This window comes from Homo sapiens, chromosome 11, assembly GCF_000001405.40.
Source record: "Homo sapiens chromosome 11, GRCh38.p14 Primary Assembly".
Lineage (NCBI taxonomy): Eukaryota > Metazoa > Chordata > Mammalia > Primates > Hominidae > Homo > Homo sapiens.
In genome coordinates this window covers 86,880,657-86,900,347 of record NC_000011.10, presented here as the reverse complement: position 1 = coordinate 86,900,347, position 19,691 = coordinate 86,880,657, and the positions used below count along the sequence as shown (strand labels likewise).

Sequence of the window (19,691 nt, the reverse complement as noted above, 5' to 3'; positions counted from 1 at the left end):
GAGCATACGGGCACATGCAAGCCGCTTCCTCCTCCTGCCTCCCTGTACCAAATGTCCCGCCTGGGAGGCAGAATGCAGTTTACAGACCTTGAAACCAAGTGCAAAGTGTCTACAATTAGAGGAGAGGAAAGCATTGAGGAGGAAATAATAAATCAAGTATTGAAGATCTCAACAACTTAGAGAACAAGATACCAGTCTTAAGTGAAAAGAACACATTTGGCATTAAGTATCTCAGGAAACATGTCCTTCAGGTCCATTGACTCAGAAACATCTCTATTTTCAAAGAGGCATTTAGTCAGCTCCTTCCCTCATCTAACTCAATTTCCTACTTCCCTCCATCATAGACCATGCGTTCTTTGGTTATCAGATTTGCCTTTGGATTTTTTTTTTTAAAGACAACTAAAAACATCTTTTAAAAATCTAGCCTTTTCAGTGTCACTTGTCACTTATGTGTTTCTCTTCCCAATTTACTTCATGGCTGAGGCCTCCCTTGGGGTAGTATTTTTTTTTTTTTTAAGAAATGGGGTCTCGCGGCCGGACTTGGTGGCTCATGCCTGTAATCCCAGCACTTTGGGAGGCCGAGGCAGGTGGATCACGAGGTCAGGCGATCGAGACCATCCTGGCTAACATGGTGAAACCCTGTCTCTACTGAAAAATAGAAAAAAATTAGCCAGGCATGGTGGCGGGCATCTGTAGTCCCAGCTACTTGGGAGGCTTAGGCAAGAGAATGGTGTGAACCTGGGAGGCAGAGCTTGCAGTGAGCCAAGATCGTGCCACTGCACGCCAGCCTGGGTGACAGAGCGAGACTCTGTCTCAAAAAAAAAAAAAAGAAACGGGGTCTCACTTTGTTGCCCAGGCTGGAGTACAGTAGCATGATCTCAACTCACTGCTGCCTCAACCTCCCAGTCTCAGGTGATCCTCTCGCCTCTGCCCCCCAAGTAGCTGGGACTACAGGTGCGAGCTGCCATACCTGGCTAATTTTTGTATGTTTTGTAGAGATGGGGTTTTGCCATATTGCCCAGGCTGGTCTCAAACTCCTTAGCTTATGCAATCTGCCCCCTTCAGCCTCCCAAAGTTCTGGTATTACAGGTGTGAGAAGCCACGCCTGGCCAGGGTAGTATTTTTTTCTTGACTTGTGAAGACTTAGCTTGATTCTCCCCTAGCAGTGCACCATGAGTGGGGTGTGGGGTTGGGGAAGGGATCAGCACAGGAATGCATGCTGGCCAGGCCAGGGTTTGTTGAAGCAGGTGGGGTTTGAAGGTTGTGGGACAAATACTTCCCAACTTTACCCTATGAACATGGTGGCAGGTCAGCTGAGACTTGCACATACACTTTGTCTTCTGGGTGTGCCTGGAAGTAGAGTGATGCCCTGGAACCTGCATGACCTAGTGCTCAGAATACCTGGGCTTGGTTTCTGATCACTACCTAGTCCAGTAACTCTGTGCCACAAACAAATTAACATAGATGAGTGCCCATGACTACCAGACAATATATGTAAGTGCTTCTGGGCACCCAGAGAGGTGTGCCTTGTTTTCTCCATGTAGAGGCCAGGAAATGAAGGTTCAGAGAAGAGATATGCACACCGCATGCAATTCCCTCTGCCTGGAAAGCCTCTGCTCACCCCATCACCCTCTGCTGATGGAGTCAGTTTCTTTGTGTGGTCTCAGCACACTTATCACATCTTCAGTGTGACACATATTTTATTCACAAGACATATGTCCCAAGGACAGGGACCCATGAAGGAACAACAGCAGAGAACTGTAGCTCTGAAAGGTGCTCCGCTTCATTTGTCCTTTCCCCAGACAATGAGGAAAGTGACAAATAGCTATGGTCATAATGGAATTCTCAAAGAGACTCCTTCCTTATTGACTACATTCAACAGAAAATGAGTCCTTGGCATTCTGATCCTCAACAAAAAATATCAACATTAATATTTAGCATCCTTATATATCAAATAGACTCTAATGGGTTATGGGAGCTTTCTGAAATACTTTTTATACTATATTTATTGAAGGAAATAAATAAGTTATAATAATTCACTTGTCCCATCTGGTTCAGTTTTAGGGGCCTTCTTCACTATGATTGTTTCTAAAATCCATGGAAATAGAGGTGAAAACCCTTCTCCTCCTCACTGCACTATTGACATTATAAACACTGACCTAGATTATAACCATTAGGTTCTCATCGAAATGAAATATCTGCCCTGGGGTTTAAATTCCTAAACTTACTGTGTAAGATGAGCCTCCAATTAAAGATTTCTAATAAGAAAATCAGAGATTTGGTGTTAAAACATCCTCAAGTAATCTGTGGGGAATGTTACTTTTAAAATGAGAGCACTTACTAGCATCTGATTCGAAGTAGAGTCTAGATCTATCTATCTTCTCCAGGGAGAGCTCCTTGAGGACAAGGAATTTGCCTCTTTCATGTTATTTGGCACAGTTTTTAGCCCATAAGAGGCTCTCAATAAATACTGGTTAAACAGAAATAAGAAAAAGGAGATGCTGAGCGCAAAGAGCAAGGTAAAACCATTCTGCTCTTTTTCTTCTTTGAAGATGATGATGGCAAGAGTTACCATAAACTGGTCAGGTGTGGTGGCTCACACCATAATCCCAGCAACCAAAGCCCAGGGCAGGAGGATCACTTGAGGCCAGGAGTTTGAAACTAGCCTGGGCAACAGCAAGACCCAGTATTTATAACAAACAAACAAAAAAAAACTAGCCAGGGGTGCATGCTTATAATTCTAGCCACTCAGGAGGCTGAGGCAGGAGGATTACTTGAGCCCAGTAGTTTGAGGCTGCAGTGAGATATGATTATGCCACTGCACTCCAACCTGAGTGACAGAGCAAGACTTTGTATCTCAATTAAATAAGTAAATAAATAAAGAGTTACTATAAACTGAGTTGTTTACTATGTGCCAGGCACTGTGTCAAGTACTTTATGTTGGCCAGGCATGGTGGCTCACTCCTGTAATTCCAGCACGTTGAGAGTAGGCCAAGTTGGGAGGATTGCTTGAGGCCAGGAGTTTCAGACCAGCCTGGGCAATATAGTGAGGCCCTGTCTCTGTCTAAGAAATTTAAAATAAAAAAAGCACTTTATGTGCAACAGTTCTTTTAACTCTTTAATTCTATAAGGAATCCATTTTTCCTTTAAGTAGATGAGGGCCCAGGGCCATTAACTAAAGTATCCAAGGTTACCTGACTTAGAGGTGATTTTCCAAGATCTCAATTCAGGTCTCTCTACATATTTTTAAACATTGCATTGCCTTTCCAAATGAACCAATATTTATTAGCCATTTTATGCAAATAATTGGGCCATGTATTTAAAAAATCATTTCTTATGTTCTTATTTCAGCTGGTTTGCAAAGCGGCCCTGCTGGGGCTTGTATAGGGTAAATGATGGGCTGAAGTTAAAGATATACATATGTATAAGATGTATAGGATGGCGTTTTGTTAACCCTGGAAAGTTAAAGAGAATTAGAAGTTTTCAATGTAACATTTCCAGGCAGGAAAGTGTTAGCATGTTATGAAGAATTTCCCTTCCTCTGAGCCATTGGGCTTTTGCCAAGGCTTCAGGGTAGACGCTGCATTAGTGGAAGATGAATTTGATCCAAGAAGACATCTTCTCAATCCTTGTGTAAGATTAGTCTGAGTAGGAATCACTTGGTAACAATTTGAAATGGAGTTCGTTAGATAAACAGAAAAACATAGCTTTGTCTGGGTTGAGCCCAGAAATGGGTGACAGATGTTAATGATGAGTGACTGAACAGATGTTTGGGGGAGAATTACAAAAAGGGTTTCTATCATGCAGGATCTAAACCTTAACCTTCCTGGCTGATGCTGAAAGAGAGCTTGTATGAAACACGTTCTTACAAAACTATTTGGTGGATCGTGACAAAGACGAATGACTGGGTACTATAATTTAAAATGGAAAATAAGGTAAATGGGAGTCCTTGTTTATGTGCATGTGTATATGTGTGTTTTTTTTTTTTTACAAAGGTCAATGCTATATTAAAGAATTGGAAAGTTGAATAAGTCATTCCATTCTGCTTCCCTATCTTTTCCACCCCTCCCCTCCAAACTGGTAGGAATGAGCAGTATTTGATACTGTACCTTAAGGCTCAACAAATTATTAAAATACTATCACATATATACATCCTGAAATATCTGCCCTGTAATTACATTTGGAAAATAAAATTTCCTGTGCAAACTTAATTGGTAGTTTTAGTTGGGGTCTCTGAGACTTACTTCAAGTTTTAAGGAGTTTAAAAAGACCCCCATTTCAAAATAAATAAGAGACAAAGGCAGATTTTCAAAGTTGTACAGCTACTGCCATAAGCCTGTCCCCACTGTGAAGTGAGTACACTTCACAGAAAGATGAACAGTTAGTTGTGTTATACAAATTATATACTTCCTGATAATTTGACTGAAATTTTGGATGGACTGATCAGATGCATTTGTTAATTCATCTTCATATCTGGCCGTAATTGACATGAATTTGACTTACCTTCTGCTAATTATAGCTGTGGCTACACAATAGTGCAAAACACCTGGTTAAAAAAGGTGAATACAGGCCAGGCACGGTGGTTCACACCTGTAGTCCCGGCACTTTGGGCAGCCAAAGTGGGCCGATCACTTGAGCCCAGGAGTTCGAGAGCAGCCTGGGCAACATGGTGAAACCCCATCTCTATAGAAAATATAAAAATTAGCTGGGCATGGTAGTATGTGCTTGTGGTCCCAGCTACTTAGGAGGCTGAGGTGGGAGGATCACTTGAGCCCAAGAGGTCAAGGCTGCAGTGAGCCAAGATCACATCACTGTACTCCAGCCTGGGCAAGAGTGAGACCCTATCTCAAAAAAAAAAAAAAAAAAAAAAGGATAAAATAAAGGATAAATACAGTAAAAAATCCAGATATTCTCAGTTTAGTATTCTAATATTAATGAATGCCACTGAATTTATGATAGACATTGTGTATACAATAGGCTCATATGTCATCATAACCTTGCAAGCTGGATTTATTATCCTCATTTAGTGAAGGTGAAAGCAGAAGCCCAGAGAAGTTAAGTGACTCACAGAAGTTCACATATGTCAGTGAGTAGCAGGACCAGGATCTGTACCTTGGTCTGTGGTATTCAAAATTTGTCTCACTTTCTAATATGCCATACTGTCCTGGGTAGAATAGATGTTTAATTATTTGATTAAATCCTTATATTTGATTAAATCTTTATATGTTACTGTATATCAAAATGGAATAGGACTTAAAAGCCAGAATTCTCAAACTCATGATCTGAAGTCTCACTGTAATGTCATCAAAGAAAGAGTACTGGTAACTCTCTGTGTTATTGAAAGGGGAGGAAAAATACTAGATCCTTTCTTTGGCTTTGTCCTGAAGACAGCTCAATAGAGAGGAAGGTAATAACTGAATAAAATGTCACCTTTGGGCAGGGCAGTGTACTAGAAGCTATGAGCATTAAAAACATAAATGAGATACCTTAGAGCCTACAGAAGAGATAAGACATATACACAAATAGTGATAAGGAAGAAGGGCATACATCAAGGGACATGAGAGTTTAGGGGAGAAAGAGATTTTAGCTATGGTGATTAGGCAAGGCTGCATAGAGGGGATGGCATCTGCACTGTGAGCTTTGAAGATAAAGACAACGACCGGTAAAGGTTAGTCCTTTCTTCAGCTTGATTTTCCCTTCCTGTTCCTACTACCTCTCCTTCCCTACATTGCCAGACATGAAGGTGTCACCCTAGAAATGGAGAAGCAATAAGATGGAAGGCACTGGTCCCTTGACACTGGGAGCTGCCATGGGAGTTCTAGAATACTTACTCTCATGTGATTATATAAGAGAGTGCCAGGAAAAATTGCAAAGGGTCTTGAAATGGGCAACAAAAAGATTCTTGGGTGCCCTGAGTAGCTTACCCAGCCAGGTTACCTCTAACATTCATTGTCTTTGAAATATTTTACAACTCTGTAAGTTGTAGAGAACTGCTAGCAGGGCAAAGATGATTTCTTTTCCATATGCAAACAAATTCTGGCTGGGCACAGTGGCTCATGCCTGTAATCTCAGCACTTTGAGAGGCCAAGGCGGGCAGATCACTTGAGGTCAGGAGTTTGAGACCAGCTTGGACAACATGGTGAAACCTCATCTCAAAAATACAAAAATTAGCCAGGCGTGGTGGCACATGTCTGTAATCCCAGCTACTTGGGACGCTGAGGCAGGAGAATTGCTTGAATCCAGGAGGCGGAGGTTGCAGTGAGCCAAGATTGTGCCACTGCACTCCAGCCTGGGCGACAGAGTGAGATTCCATCTCAAAAACAAAAACAAAAACAAACAAACAAAAACGGAAGACAAATTCTGTCCAGTGAATTGATTCCCCCCTTTACTCCCACTCTATTTCTGCCCCTTGGAAAAAGCCAGTTTTACATCTATTTGTAAATTCACTTCAGTATTCCTGATTGACCTCTATAAGTGGGGTACTTTAAATTCTCCTTTGAGCTGATAGTAATATCTTACTGGTTCCTTCATTAGTTAATGAGTTAAAATCTTTGACGTGTATTCATTTTATATTTGTATGAGAGTAAATAATTTACCTTTATTTAAAAAAAATTTTTAACAAGAAGAATATACTTTTATTTAAGCCACTGCTATTTTGGGCACAAAATATACAATGCATGTATATATCTATATCTATCCATCTATTTCTATCTACCTATCTATAATGATCACATCTCTGTGCTAAGTAGATAGCTCCTGCCATCCTACCTTAATTATTTCCATGAGGACCAGCGTTGACTCTTAAACCAAATCCAAAGATTTTTTTCTCAGTCATCATTCATCCTTAATGAGAGACATAGCAGAACAATGTTTCTCCCAATCATGAGTCACAACAAATAAGTGGGTCGGAAATCAATTTAGTGGTTTACAGCCAGCATTAATAGGATTTATCATAGTGCATAACACACAGTAAGTATAATTTGCGAAGCTTTGGATTCAGATACTTATATGTATTAGTTTACTAGGGCTGCCATAACACATTACCACAAACTGGGTGGCTTAGAACATTAGAAGTTTATTCTCTCATACTTCTGGAGGCCAGAAGTCTGAAATCAAGGTGTGGCAGGACTAAGCTCTCTTTGAAAGCTCTAGGGGAGAATGCTTTCTAGACTCTTCTAACTTCTAGTGAATTAGTGAATTAGCCTGGCATTCCCTGGCTGGTGTTAGCATAACTGCAATCTCTGTTTTCATCTTCACAGCATCTTCTCTCTGTGCCCTTTTCTGTCTAAGGACACAGCCATTGGATTTAGGCCCCACTCTAACCCATTGTGATCTTATCTTGATCTTTACCTAAATTATATCTGCAAAGACCCTATTTCCAGATAAGGCCACATTCCAAGGGTCAGTGTAGACATAAATTTTGGGGGACAATATTCAACCCACTACATATATATATGTAAATTCTTGATCACGGTGTGAATTGTTTTTCTTATTATGAGAAGAGGTCTCAAAACTTTCAAACATAGGACTAGAAGACCCCTAGTACCTTTTTCACTCTGATTCCAGGAAGCATTTAACAAAGCTGGCTACATTTCCCTTTTTGGCAATAATAATATTAATAATTAATAAGTATAAAATTTATTCAAGTAATTTTACATGCAACAAATAATTCAATCTTATAAAGCCTTAGGAGGTGGGTTTTAATAATATGTCAGTTTTAAAGATTATCACACAGCTAGAGAGCTGAGCAGCCAGTATTCAATTCCAAACACATGGTTTTCCATCATATCATGTGTATTTGGAACTTCATCTCCCTTTGCTTCCATATCGCTGCATTGATCTGGTGTATCTGACTTGGCTGCATTTTCTGGCCTCTATTTTCTTCTTTCCATCTCCTAATATTGTCATTCCATCAACTCTCAGCCATGGCCAGCTCCCGCCCAATCTCATTCAATTCTTCACTTTCTACTTACAGGGATGGAGAAGACTTAATCCTATCTGGAAGGAGCCAGTGCACAGCAAAGATGGCAGAGAGAGAAAAGAGAGGGAGTGACAATGAAGTAAGGCTACAGAGAGATGACCAAGTGTCCCAGAGGAGGAATTCTCTTTCGGAAAGAGATAGACACCTCTTCCTGTGAGACATTTGGTCATTTTAACAAGGCAAATAGTGATAGCAGCAGAACAAGGAAGCTCCTGTCCCATTAGTTGGCTTTGGGTTCCCCAGTTTCTGGCTATGAGGCTTGATGTGAAAGCCCGGGTCTTGTCTCTTGGACAAGGTGCTCTATTTTACAGATCAAGTTCAGCACAGGAAAATAGGATGTTGTATCAGTCTGTTTTCACACTGCTATAAAGAACTGCTTGAGACTAGGTCATTTATAAAGGAAAAAGGTTTAATTAACTCACAGTTTGGCATGGCTGGGGAGGCCTCAGGAAACTTCCAGTCATGGTGGAAGGTGAAGGGGAAGCGCACCTTATTCACAAGGCAGCAGGAAGGAGAATGAACGCAGGAGGAACTACCAAACACTTAGAAAACCATCAGATCTCGTGAGAACTCACTCACTAGCACAAGAACAGCATGGGGGAAACTGCCCCCATGATTCAATTACCTCCACCTGGTCCCTTGTAACGTGGGGATTATGGGGATTACAATTCAAGATGAGATTTTGGATGGGGACACAGGAAAACCATAGCAGACGTAGTGCGAAATGTTTGGTTATTTAGTTTAAGAAATGTGGGAAAGAACACAAAAAGAAAAGGAGAAACAAAAATCTAACACCCAAAAGATTTCCTCTTTGTCACCTCATTACCTGAGCTAATGACTCCCCAAAACTCAGAGAACACATCAGGAATCCAGGATAGCTGTGCTCCTCAGCCTGGAGGAGCTTTCAACAGGCACAGGAGTTGGATAATTACACACTGGTACCTTTCCCAGATGATTTATGGAATACCCTGTGGCAAATAAGGAAGACACAAGCTCCAACAAATGATTTCTTTAAGTCAGGACCTTTAAACAAGAAAGCATTACTGAGGGGGCAATAAAACCATCAGAATGTGGCTCTGGCTTCTCTCCATCTTATTAGGCTTGAGGTAATTATCCAGGTAATTTAGGGAAAATAAACTGCCATTACCTGAATTATTCAGATAATTACCTCGCTGTTCTGCTTCAGTCCAGTGGTGGAGAGCCGGCTGTAAATGTCTCACAGGCTCAGTCTGATTACAGAAAACAGGCTTGGCAATTGAGGAGCTGGGGGTGGAACAGTGGAAGGAGTTGAGCTCAAATAATTAGGTGTTTTAGACCAAGCCCTGGCACATACCACCTGCTTACTCCTGGTTAGCCACTTTATCTCACCGAACCAAAAGGCATTTTGAAGATGGCAAACTATAAATTACTAACTGGTTGTTGTTCTGAACCCTGATTAACCTTAATAGGGAGAGCACCAGGTTCAAGAGGCTGAAGAAGAGACCAAGAGTCAGCAAAGAAGATAAGGGGTTTTATTAAGGGCTTACACACAGAAGAGAAAGTCCAGTGGTGGTGGGCTGGACAACATAACCACATGGCCCAGTGGCATTGGGCTAAGCAGGAAACTGCAACCACTTGCAAACAGCATGCAGTTTATATAGCATTTTCACTTAACACCTTCCCCTAATGACCTCCACCTGGCAACCTTCATTTAACCTAAAACTTAGGGCCTCAATCCCGTGTACAGCCCGTGTTTCACTTCCATGGTTCAGGCCAGGGGCTCAGATGTTCTTCATAAACAAGGAATAATTTCTGGGTTGGCCACTCCCGAATTCCCTAGTTTGGAACACACATTCAGATGTGTCTGCCATACAGGGTCAGTCTAAGGGTATGCTTAAGTTATTGCTATCAGGTGCATTTACCCTACATGGATACAATTTAAGCAATTATTATTAATCATATTTTTTCACTGGTGTTATCAACAGCTGATGTAAACTTTTGTTCTGGCATAAAGATGGCTAGAAATTCTATGCTTTATGCTGAGGTATGAGATTCCAGGGCAATGCTTCTTAATGTTAGCTGCCCATTAGACTCAACTGGGGAAATTTTTTTTTTTTGGAGATGGAATCTCACTCTGTTGTCCAGGCTGGAGTGCAGTGGCATGATCTCAGCTCACTGCGATGTCCGCCTCCCAGGTTCAAAGGATTCTCATGCCTCAGCCTCTGAGTAGCTAGGATTACAGGTGTGCACCACCACACCTGGCTAATTTTTTTTGTATTTTTAGTAGAGATGGAGTTTCACCATGTTGGCCAGGCTGGTCTCGAACTCCTGACCTCAAGTGATCCACACGCCTCGGCTTCCCAAAGTGCTGGGACTCAGGCGTGAGCCACCGCACCTGGCCTCAACTGGGGAACTTTTAAAAAATAGAGGATTTCCAGGTCCCACACCAGATCAGTTAAATTTGAATCTCTAGGGTCGAGCTCCTGACATTGGTATTTTTAACAAGCTCTCCAGATGATTCTAACAGGCAGAACTACTGCACATCAGAGAAAGAAGGGAAGGGAGATTTCTGTTACTGAATGGTCATATTCAGGATTTGACATTTCTGATGGATAAGTCTCGGAGTGACAGGTGAAGCTGAGTGTTCAGCCTCTTCCCCCAGAGTTCTAGGCACGAGGGATCTGTGATGGTTTGAATGTTTATGTCCCTCCAGAATTCATGTTGAACCATAATCCACAATGCAACAGTATCAAGAGGTGTGGCCTTTAGGAGCTGATTAGGCCACGAAGGCTCTGCCTCATGGATGGGATCACCCTTATAAAAAGACTTGATGGAGTGCATTCAGTCCCTTTTTTGCTCCTTCCATTCCTTCCACCTTGTGGGAATACAGCATGCCCTCTGGAAGATGCAGCAACACAGCACCATTTTGGATGCAGAGACCACATTCTTGCAAGACACCAAACCTGCTAATGCCTTGATTTTGGACTTCCAGCCTCCAGAACTATAAGAAATATATTTCTGTTCTTTATAAATGACCCAGTCTCAGGTATTTTGTTACTGCCATAGGAACAGACTAAGACAGGGCCCAAATTGCCCCATCTGTGGATTTCAGAGGTCCCTGATCTGAATGGCAGAAGAGGAGTTTGCTGTGCCTATCTGCTGAACTGTACACCACTCCCGTACAAAAAGGCCATGAGGCTCTGGCAGTGCCTGCTCTACATACCAGGTTTGTTTGAGTAACCAAAGGACTCATCAAAGGCTGCTTAACCACTGCTAGTTGTTAGCAGAGATGGGCAGAAAGAATCATTTTCACTTCCTTGTCATTTCCTAAAACTGCCCCTCCCAAGGATTAGGAACAGGCACATCCCCACCATGAGTGATCAGGGCTCTATAAGGTGCATTTGTGCATCACATCAACACTCATTAAAAACAATGAGACAGTAACTGCAAAAAGACATTACTTCACCCCGGCAGCAAGTTCCCAGGGGCAAACTTGCCATCTGCTAGGCAGCGCTAGGAACCAGAAAACTTTTGAAGCAATTCAGTTGGATCCTCCAGCTTTGAAGCATCTGGTTGGTAACTGTGCTATCAGCATGAAGTTACCTTCTCAGTTTCAAACACCCCAGTGTTGGAACCTGAAGATAGAATTCCTGTGGTTTAGACACAAATGCCTGCTACTAGGATTTACAGATGGGGCTCTCCTTTAAGTCTTAGGAGACATGGCTCAGAAATGATCATGCAATCTCTCAACAATTTCTCAGGAATGACCAACAGTCTCTCAGAATACAGCAAAACATCTGTTTCTTACATGTAACTCCACCGAACACAGGCTGCCTTCCCCATACACATGTTTTTCTGGCGGGGATTGTATGACATGTGAATTCAAAGGACCATTTCTTTTGCCCCATGACAAGCCTTTCAGAGGGTGAAGTGCTTGGATTTAGAGTGATTCTCCTTAGAGGATTTACCCCCAGTTGTTGAAATATGGCAAATACCAAGTGTCCACGATTTATTATAAGACAATAAAGTGATTGTTCCTTATGGAGTACTCCCTACACTCTGGAGAAAAGCAAACAATAGCATGTGTTCTTTCTTCCTCTTAGAAAATAGTCTAGTCTTTTAAAATTCCCCTTGACTGCATAGAGGTTTGTTATCTTTCAAGGTCCTGTTCAAATGTTGCCTCCCCTGTAAAGCCTTCTAGGGTCTTCCTGAGCAGAATTAACCATGCCTTATGTGGCAGCTTAGGTTTTGTTTTGTTTTGTTTTTTTTTAAAAAAAACCAACTTGATGCTCAGTAACATTGTGTGTGTGTGTTTTTGTTTTTGTTTTTTTTTTTGAGACAGAGTTTCACTCTTGTTACCTAGGCTGGAGTGCAATGGCGCAATCTTGGTGCACTGTAACCTCTGCCTCCCAGATTCAAGCAATTATCCTGCCTCAGCCTCCCGAGTAGCTGGGATTACAGGCGCCCGCCACCACACACGGCTAAATTTTGTATTTTTAGTAGAGACACATTTTCACTGTGTTGGGCAGGCTGGTCTCGAACGCCTGACCTCAGGTGATCTGCCCACCTCGGCCTCCCAAAGTGCTGGGTTTACAGGCATGAGCCACTGCGCCCAGCCAACATTGTGTAATATTATTTAGTTGTTCAGTGTGTGTGTCTGCCTCTCTTCCCTCCCACCCCTACTCCCAGTACACCGGACTATGAGCTCCTCGAAGACAGAAATAACGTAGGTGCACGGTAATTATTATGTGTGGAATTGAATGTGATTCCTGGGACAGTTATAATATTCTTTCACAGTGGGCATCAGGACTATTTGACTTTTTAAAGTGCTTCCGTAAAGGGGTGTTCCATGTGCTCACAGGGAATATTTGCTGAATCTTCTCATCTATTCCCTCACATTCACTGTGAAATTTCCCTCCTGAGATAGTCCTGGCTTTTTTGCTGGGACGTTCATGCTTCTGTTTTTTTTTTTTTGTTTTGTTTTGTTTTTTTCCTGACTGTTTTTTTGACCCCTTCTGGTCATTTCCCATTTCCCATTTCACATCTTGGGCAGAGTTGGCATTTGACTATAATTCTCTACCATCCCAAGCTGCTACCAAACATTGCCTCAAGAACCCAGTCCCCACCTGCGATGTACCTTCCTCCAGATATTGCATTTGGGAAAAGTCTCCAGAATAATTTTTAAAAGAAGCCAGGATTGTGTAATAAGAACGAGCACAGCTCTGGAGTCAGTCATATCTGTATTTGATATCTACCTTGAGTTCTGCTATATAGTGATCTTGGGTGAATTATTTAACCTCCTTAAAGTCCAATTTCTTCATCTATAAACTGGGGATAATAATAGTTCCTACCTTTTTAGGTGGCACATAGTAATAATTCCATCGTTTGACTACTTACTTAATGTTAGGTCTTGGGAAAGTCCACTTTTTTATTTATTTATTTTTTTAGATGGAGTCTCACTCTTATTGCCCATGCTGGAGGGCAGTGGCGCGATCTCAGCTCCTGGGTTCAACTTCTGCCTCCCGGGTTCAAGCAATTCTCCTGCCTCAGCCTCCCCAGTAGCTGGGATTACAGGTGCCCACCACCATGCCTGGCTAATTTTTGTATTTTTAGTAAAGATGGGGTTTTGCCATGTTGGCCAGGCTGGTCTCAAACTTTTGACCTCAAGTGATCTGCCCACCTCGGCCTCCCAAAGTATTGGGATTACAGGCATGAGCCACCGCACCTGGCTGCAAGTCCACTTTATGGGGACTATTACATTTAATCTTCATAACAGGATTGTTGCAGGTTGGGTCCTCTGAGAGACAAATTCTAAGATGCAGATTAATATGCAGGAAGTTTATTAGGGAGTGCTTTAGGATTAACACCTGTGAAGAGGGAGCAAAAGAAGCAGATTTGGGCAGACAGAGAAACTGAGCTGCAGTACAGTTTTAACAGAGGCTTCACGCAACTTCACAGGACAGTTTAAAGCTGGGAGAGCACTTCAGAGTTGTGTTGCAGTGCAGGGAGGGAGCTGAGGTCTTTATACTCCTACAAATGATCCATCATGGGAAGCAGGCTGTCCTTTCCCTGAAGGGAGTGTGGCCTCAAATGAGGTAGCTCTCTCCAGCTGAGGGCAATTTTTGGAAAGGGCTGACAACTGTGGGGCTATATTCCTAAAAGCACCCATTGCACAAATTATTATTATTATTAGAGATGGGGTCTCACTGTTGTCCAGGCTGGCCTCAATCTCCTGGACTCAAGCAATTCTCCTGCCTCAGCTTCCCAAAGTGCTGGGATTACAGATGTTAGCCATCATGGCTGGTCTGTTGCACAAATTATGTGAGATAACATATAAAACACTTAGCACAATGCTTGTCAGAGAGTAATCACTTCCTAAATGTTACCTGCTATCACCATCATCATCATCATCATTAACTACCAGATAGCCCACACTTGCCATCTTGCAAGCAAGAACATAATAAATTGCTCAGCCTTTAGAGAAGTTGATGGACATATTTTCTGAATTCTTCTTTTAAAATGAAAGACCTAATGCCCATGCCAATGGAAAAGATTCCTAGACAGTGTATTAGTCAGGGTTCTCCAGAGCAACAGGACCAATAAGATAGGATGTGTGAATTTATAAAGAGAGAGGGAGAGAGAAAGAGAGATTTTAAACAATTGGTTTAGGTGATTATGAATATGAAGCCTGGCAAGTCAAAAATCTGCGGGATAGATCAGCAGGCTGGAGGCACAGGGAAGAACTAATGTTGCAGTTCAAGTCTGAAGGATGCCTGCTGGCAGAATTGCTTTTTGCTCAAGGGAGATCAGTCTGTTCTGTTAAGACCTTCAACTGACTGGATGAAGCCCACACACATTATGGAGGGTAATCCGTTTACTCACAGTCCACTGATTCAAATGTTAATCTCATCCAAATACCCTCATAGAAATATGTAGAATAATGTTTGGCCAAATATCTGGGCACTGTGTCCTAGCCAAGTTAACAAAGTTAACCATCATAGGAGTGAATATGGGACTTCGCCTCTAATTTATGGAATCAGAAAATTTGACAAAGAGAGTCATATGGTGTGCATAATATTATTCCATCACAGTGCCGGGAAAGGGCTTCAGGTTTCTGTGCTTTCCTTTGCTAATTTTGCCTATGAAGTTCTTGGGATGATATAGTTAAATCAGTAACATTCTTGAGTCACTGATGGTGATAGAAATTTAATGATGTTATATAGTATGTGGTAGGGTACTGAACAATGGAGATTTAATCACCGAATACTTATTTTAGGCCAAACTTTACTGTAGCACTGGAAATGTAGAGATAAATAAAATAAATGTCCTGTCTTCAAGAAGCTGTTTTCTTGAAATATTCCAATGAGCACAATATAATAAAATAATTGCTTTACTGAAGACAGAGACAAATATATTGTGAGTATAGGAGAAACACCTAAATTTGTTTGGGGAAATGGCATAATTTCCAGAGGTGGCAGTTTTTCAGCTGACATGAAAGATGTCAATTTTAGGGATGCCAAGTTTTGTGGGAGATACCTAGGAGCTAAGGCAACACCATTCAAGGTCATGGTAGCATGAATGACACATGGCATGTTCAATAATATATGCATTTTCTGGATGAACAGAGTAAGATATGATAGTGTAGGGGAATGGTGGGACAAGAGGCAGGTTAGGGAGACAGTGGCCGTATCTTGAAGGCTTATGTGTTATGCAAAGCAATTTGGAGATTGTTCCATGGGTAATAAGGTTTTGAGAAAGAAAATCATATAATCAAATATGAGTGCAAGACTGGGTGTGGTGGCTTACGCCTGTAATCCCAGCACTTTGGGAGGCCAGGTTGGGGGCAGATCACCTGAGGTCAGGAGTTCGAGACCAGCTTGGCCAGCATGGAGAAACCCCGTCTCTACTAAAAATACAAAAATTAGTTGAGTTTGGTGGCACGTGCCTGTAATCCCAGCTACTTGGGAGGCTGAGGCAGGAGAATCACTTGAACCCAGGAGGTGGAGGTGGCAGTGAGCCGAGATCGCACCACTGCATTCCAGCCTGGGTGACAGAGTGAGACTCTGTCTCAAAACAAAACAAAACAAAAACAAATATGAGTGCAAGAATATTTTGTTGGCAATGTGGGGGGTGAATTGGAAGGGTCAAAAACTATAGGCCAAATGGCGATAGATGTAACAGTCAAGGAGAGAGATGATGAGAGTAGCCAGTATAGAGTAGTGTTGGTAAAGACAGAGGACATGATGCATGCCAAAAACTGGGGAGGAAGGGGATGGAGAGGCAATAAGACTAGATGATTTACTGGCTATAGCCATAAGAGAGAATTAAATATTAATGATATGGGATATCTCCAGGGTTTCTGTCTTGGGAAGTGGGTAAATAATGGTGCATATCATAAAGCTAAGGAAGATAGGATGAAAAGCAAGGTGAGGTAGAAGAGATAAAAAAGTTAGTTCGATTTTGGGCTGCTAAATTTGAGGTGCTTAGGAAGCATACTAATGCTTACAATTCATAAATATGTAGAAATCAAACAACACACTCCTAAAAACCAGTGGATTAAAGAGAAAAATCACAAGGGAAATTAGAAAACACTTTGAAATGAATGAAAATGAAAACACAACATACCAAAACATATAGGATACACAAAAGCAATGCTTGGAGGGAAATTATAGAGGTAAACACGTATATTTAAAAATAGATTAAGTCCTTTTCTGTGCAGAAGCTCTTTAGTTTAATTAGATCCCATTCATCTATTTTTGCTTTTATTGAATTTGCTTTTGGCGTCTTCATCATGAAATCTTTGCCCATGCCCACATCCTGAATGGTATTGCCTAGGTTGTCTTCCAGGGTTTTTATAGTTTGGGGTTTTACATTTAAGTCTTTAATCCATCTTGAGTTAATTTTTGTATATAGTGTAAAGAAGGAGTCCAGTTTCAATTTTCTGCATATGGCTATCCAGTTATTCCAGCACCATTTACTGAATAGGGAATCCTTTCCCCATTGCTTGTTTTTCTCAGGTTTGTCAAAAATCAGATAGTTGTAGGTGTGTGGTCTTATTTCTGGGTTCTCTATTCTGTTCCATTGGCCTATGTGTCTGTTTTTGTACCAGTACCATGCTGTTTTGGTTACTGTATCCCTGTAGTATGGTTTGAAGTCGAGTAGCATGATGCCTCCAGCTTTTTGCTTAGGATTGCCTTGGCTATTCAGACTCTTTTTTCAACGGAGTAAACAGACAATCTACAGAATAGGAGAAAATTTTTGCAAACTCTGCATCTGACAAAGGTCTAATATCCAGCATCTATAAGGAACTTAAACAAATTTACCAGAAAGAAACAAACAACACCATTAAAAAGTAGGCAAAGGCCATGAACAGATACTTCCTAAAAGAAGATACAGATGTGGCCAAAAAGTGTATGAAAAAAAGCTGAACATCACTGACCCTTGGAGAAATGCAAACCAAAACCACAATGAGATACCATCTCACACCAGTCAGAATGTCTATTATTAAAAAGTGAAAAAATAACAGATGCTGATGAGGTTGTGGAGAAAAAGGAACACTTACACACTGTCGGTAGGAGTGTAAATTAGTTCAACCATTGTGGAAGACAATGTGGCGATTCTTCAAAGAACTAAGGTCAGAAATACCATTCCACCCAGCACTCTCATTACTGAGGATATACCCAAAGAAATAGGAAGTGTTCTATTATAAAGACACATGTACATGTATGTTCATTGCAGCACTATTCACAATAGCAAAGACATGGAATCAACCTAAATGCCTGTCAATGACAGACTAGATAAAATATGGTACATTTACGCCATGAAATATATGCAGGCATTAAAAAAACGAGATCATGCCCTTCGTAGGGACATGGATGGAGCTGGAGGCCATTATCCTTAGCAAACTGACACGGGCACAGAAAACCAAATACCACATGTTTTTGCTTACAAGTGGGAGCTAAATAATGAGAACACATGGACACATAGAGGGGAACAACACACACTGGGGCCTGTCAGAAGGTGGAGAGTGGGAGGAGGGAGAGGATCAGGAAAAATAACTAATGGGTTCTAGACTTAATACCTGGGTGATGAAATAATTGGTACAAGAAACCCTCATGACATGCATTTACTAACAAACCTACACATCCTGCACATGTACTCCTGAATTTAAAAGTTAAAAAAGACCTCAAATTAATAACCTAAGCTTCCACTTTAAGAAACTAGAAAAAGAAGAGCAAACTAATCCCAAGGCAGGTGTAAGTAAATAATAAATATTGGAGCAGAAATAATGAAATCGAGAATAGTAAAACAACAGAGAAAATCAATGAAATAAAAACTTGGTTCTTTGAAATGATCAACCAAATTGACAAACATTTAAGTGGGCTGACCATGAACAAAAGAGAGAAGATTCACATCACTTAAGTCTGGAATGAAAGAGGGGACATTACTACTGGTGTTATAAAAATAAAAAGGTTTACAAGGGAATACTATGAACAATTAATATATATGCCAAAAAATTAGATAACCTAGATGAAATGGACAAATTGCTAGAAAGACACACACTAATGAATTTGACTCAAGAAGAGATAATAAATCTTCATAGGCCTATAACAAATAAGGAGATTGAATTACTAATGAGAAAACTTCCCACAAAGAAAAGTCCAGGACCAGATGATTTCACTGGTGAATTCTACCAAACATTTAAAGAAGAATTAACACCAATTTTTCACACATTATTCAAAAAAATAGAAGAGGGAACACTTTCTATGAGGCTAACACATTCTTTGAGGCCAGCATATTTAAATCAGGCAAAGACATCACAAGAAAGGGAAATGATAGAGCAGTATCTCTTATGAATGTAGGTGCAAAATCTTCAACAAAATACTAGCAAACTGAATTCAGCCATATATTTTAAAAAAAATATACACCAAGACTAAGTGGGAGTTATCTCAGGAATGCAGGTTTGTTTCAATATATGCAAATTAATCAACGTGATGCACCATATTAATAGAATACAGAGAAAAACCCTACATGATCACCTCAATAGATGCAAAAAAAAGAAAAAACCAACAAAAAAAAGCCAAACATTTGACAAACACCAACACCATTTCATGATAAAAAAAAAAAAAAAAGCACTCAACAAAGTTTCTTCTACCTGTTTCCTCAACAGTTAGAGGGAACTTCCTCAACCTGAGGAAATCTAGCAAAAACTCACAGTTAATATCCTACTTAATAGGTGAAAGACTGAAAGCTTTTTCCCTAACATAAGCAACAAGACAAGAATGTCTGATCTTGCTATGTCTATTCAACATTATACTGGAGGTTCTAGCCAGGGTAATTATGAATGAAAAAAGCAATCAAATAATCGAGATTGGAAAGGAAGAAGCAAAACTGTCTCTGTTAATGGATGACATCATATTGCGTACAGAAAATCTTATGGAATCCACAAAAACATTACTAGGGCTAATAAATAAATTCTGCAAGGTTGAAGAATGCAAGATTGATATCTAAAAATCAAGAGTATTTTTCCATATAATACTCTGCAGCCATAAGAAAATAATGAGATCGTGTCCTTTGCAGGGACATGGATGAAGGTGGAAACCATCATTCTCAGCAAACTAACACAGGAACAGAAAACCAAATGCTGCATGTTCTCACTCATAAGTGGGAGTTGAACAATGAGAACACATGGACACAGGGAGGGGAACAACACACCAGGGCCTGTTGGTAG

The 19,691-nt window shown here is 40.9% G+C and overlaps 1 protein-coding gene and 1 long non-coding RNA gene across 4 annotated transcripts in view, besides 1 other annotated feature; one reads left to right on the top strand and one right to left on the bottom strand.

Moving 5' to 3' along the window:
* PRSS23-AS1 (PRSS23 antisense RNA 1) overlaps positions 1–12,001 on the top strand; it is a 50,139-nt gene extending 38,138 nt beyond the window's left edge. Inside the window, exons 3-4 of the long non-coding RNA NR_187135.1 lie at positions 3,808–3,935; positions 10,674–12,001. This is a non-coding gene — a long non-coding RNA (PRSS23 antisense RNA 1). The remainder of the gene's footprint in view (positions 1–3,807; positions 3,936–10,673) is intronic.
* Positions 1–19,691, bottom strand: part of PRSS23 (serine protease 23) — a 161,840-nt gene that overhangs the window by 52,563 nt on the left and 89,586 nt on the right. The gene's annotated exons all lie outside the window — the stretch shown is intronic.
* Positions 3,655–3,855: a silencer, noted in NCBI's record as "peak1380 fragment used in MPRA reporter construct". NCBI's record gives its function as "represses an SCP1 promoter by STARR-seq MPRAs in K562 erythroleukemia cells {active_cell/tissue: K562}" and the evidence as "EXISTENCE:reporter gene assay evidence [ECO:0000049][PMID:32103011]".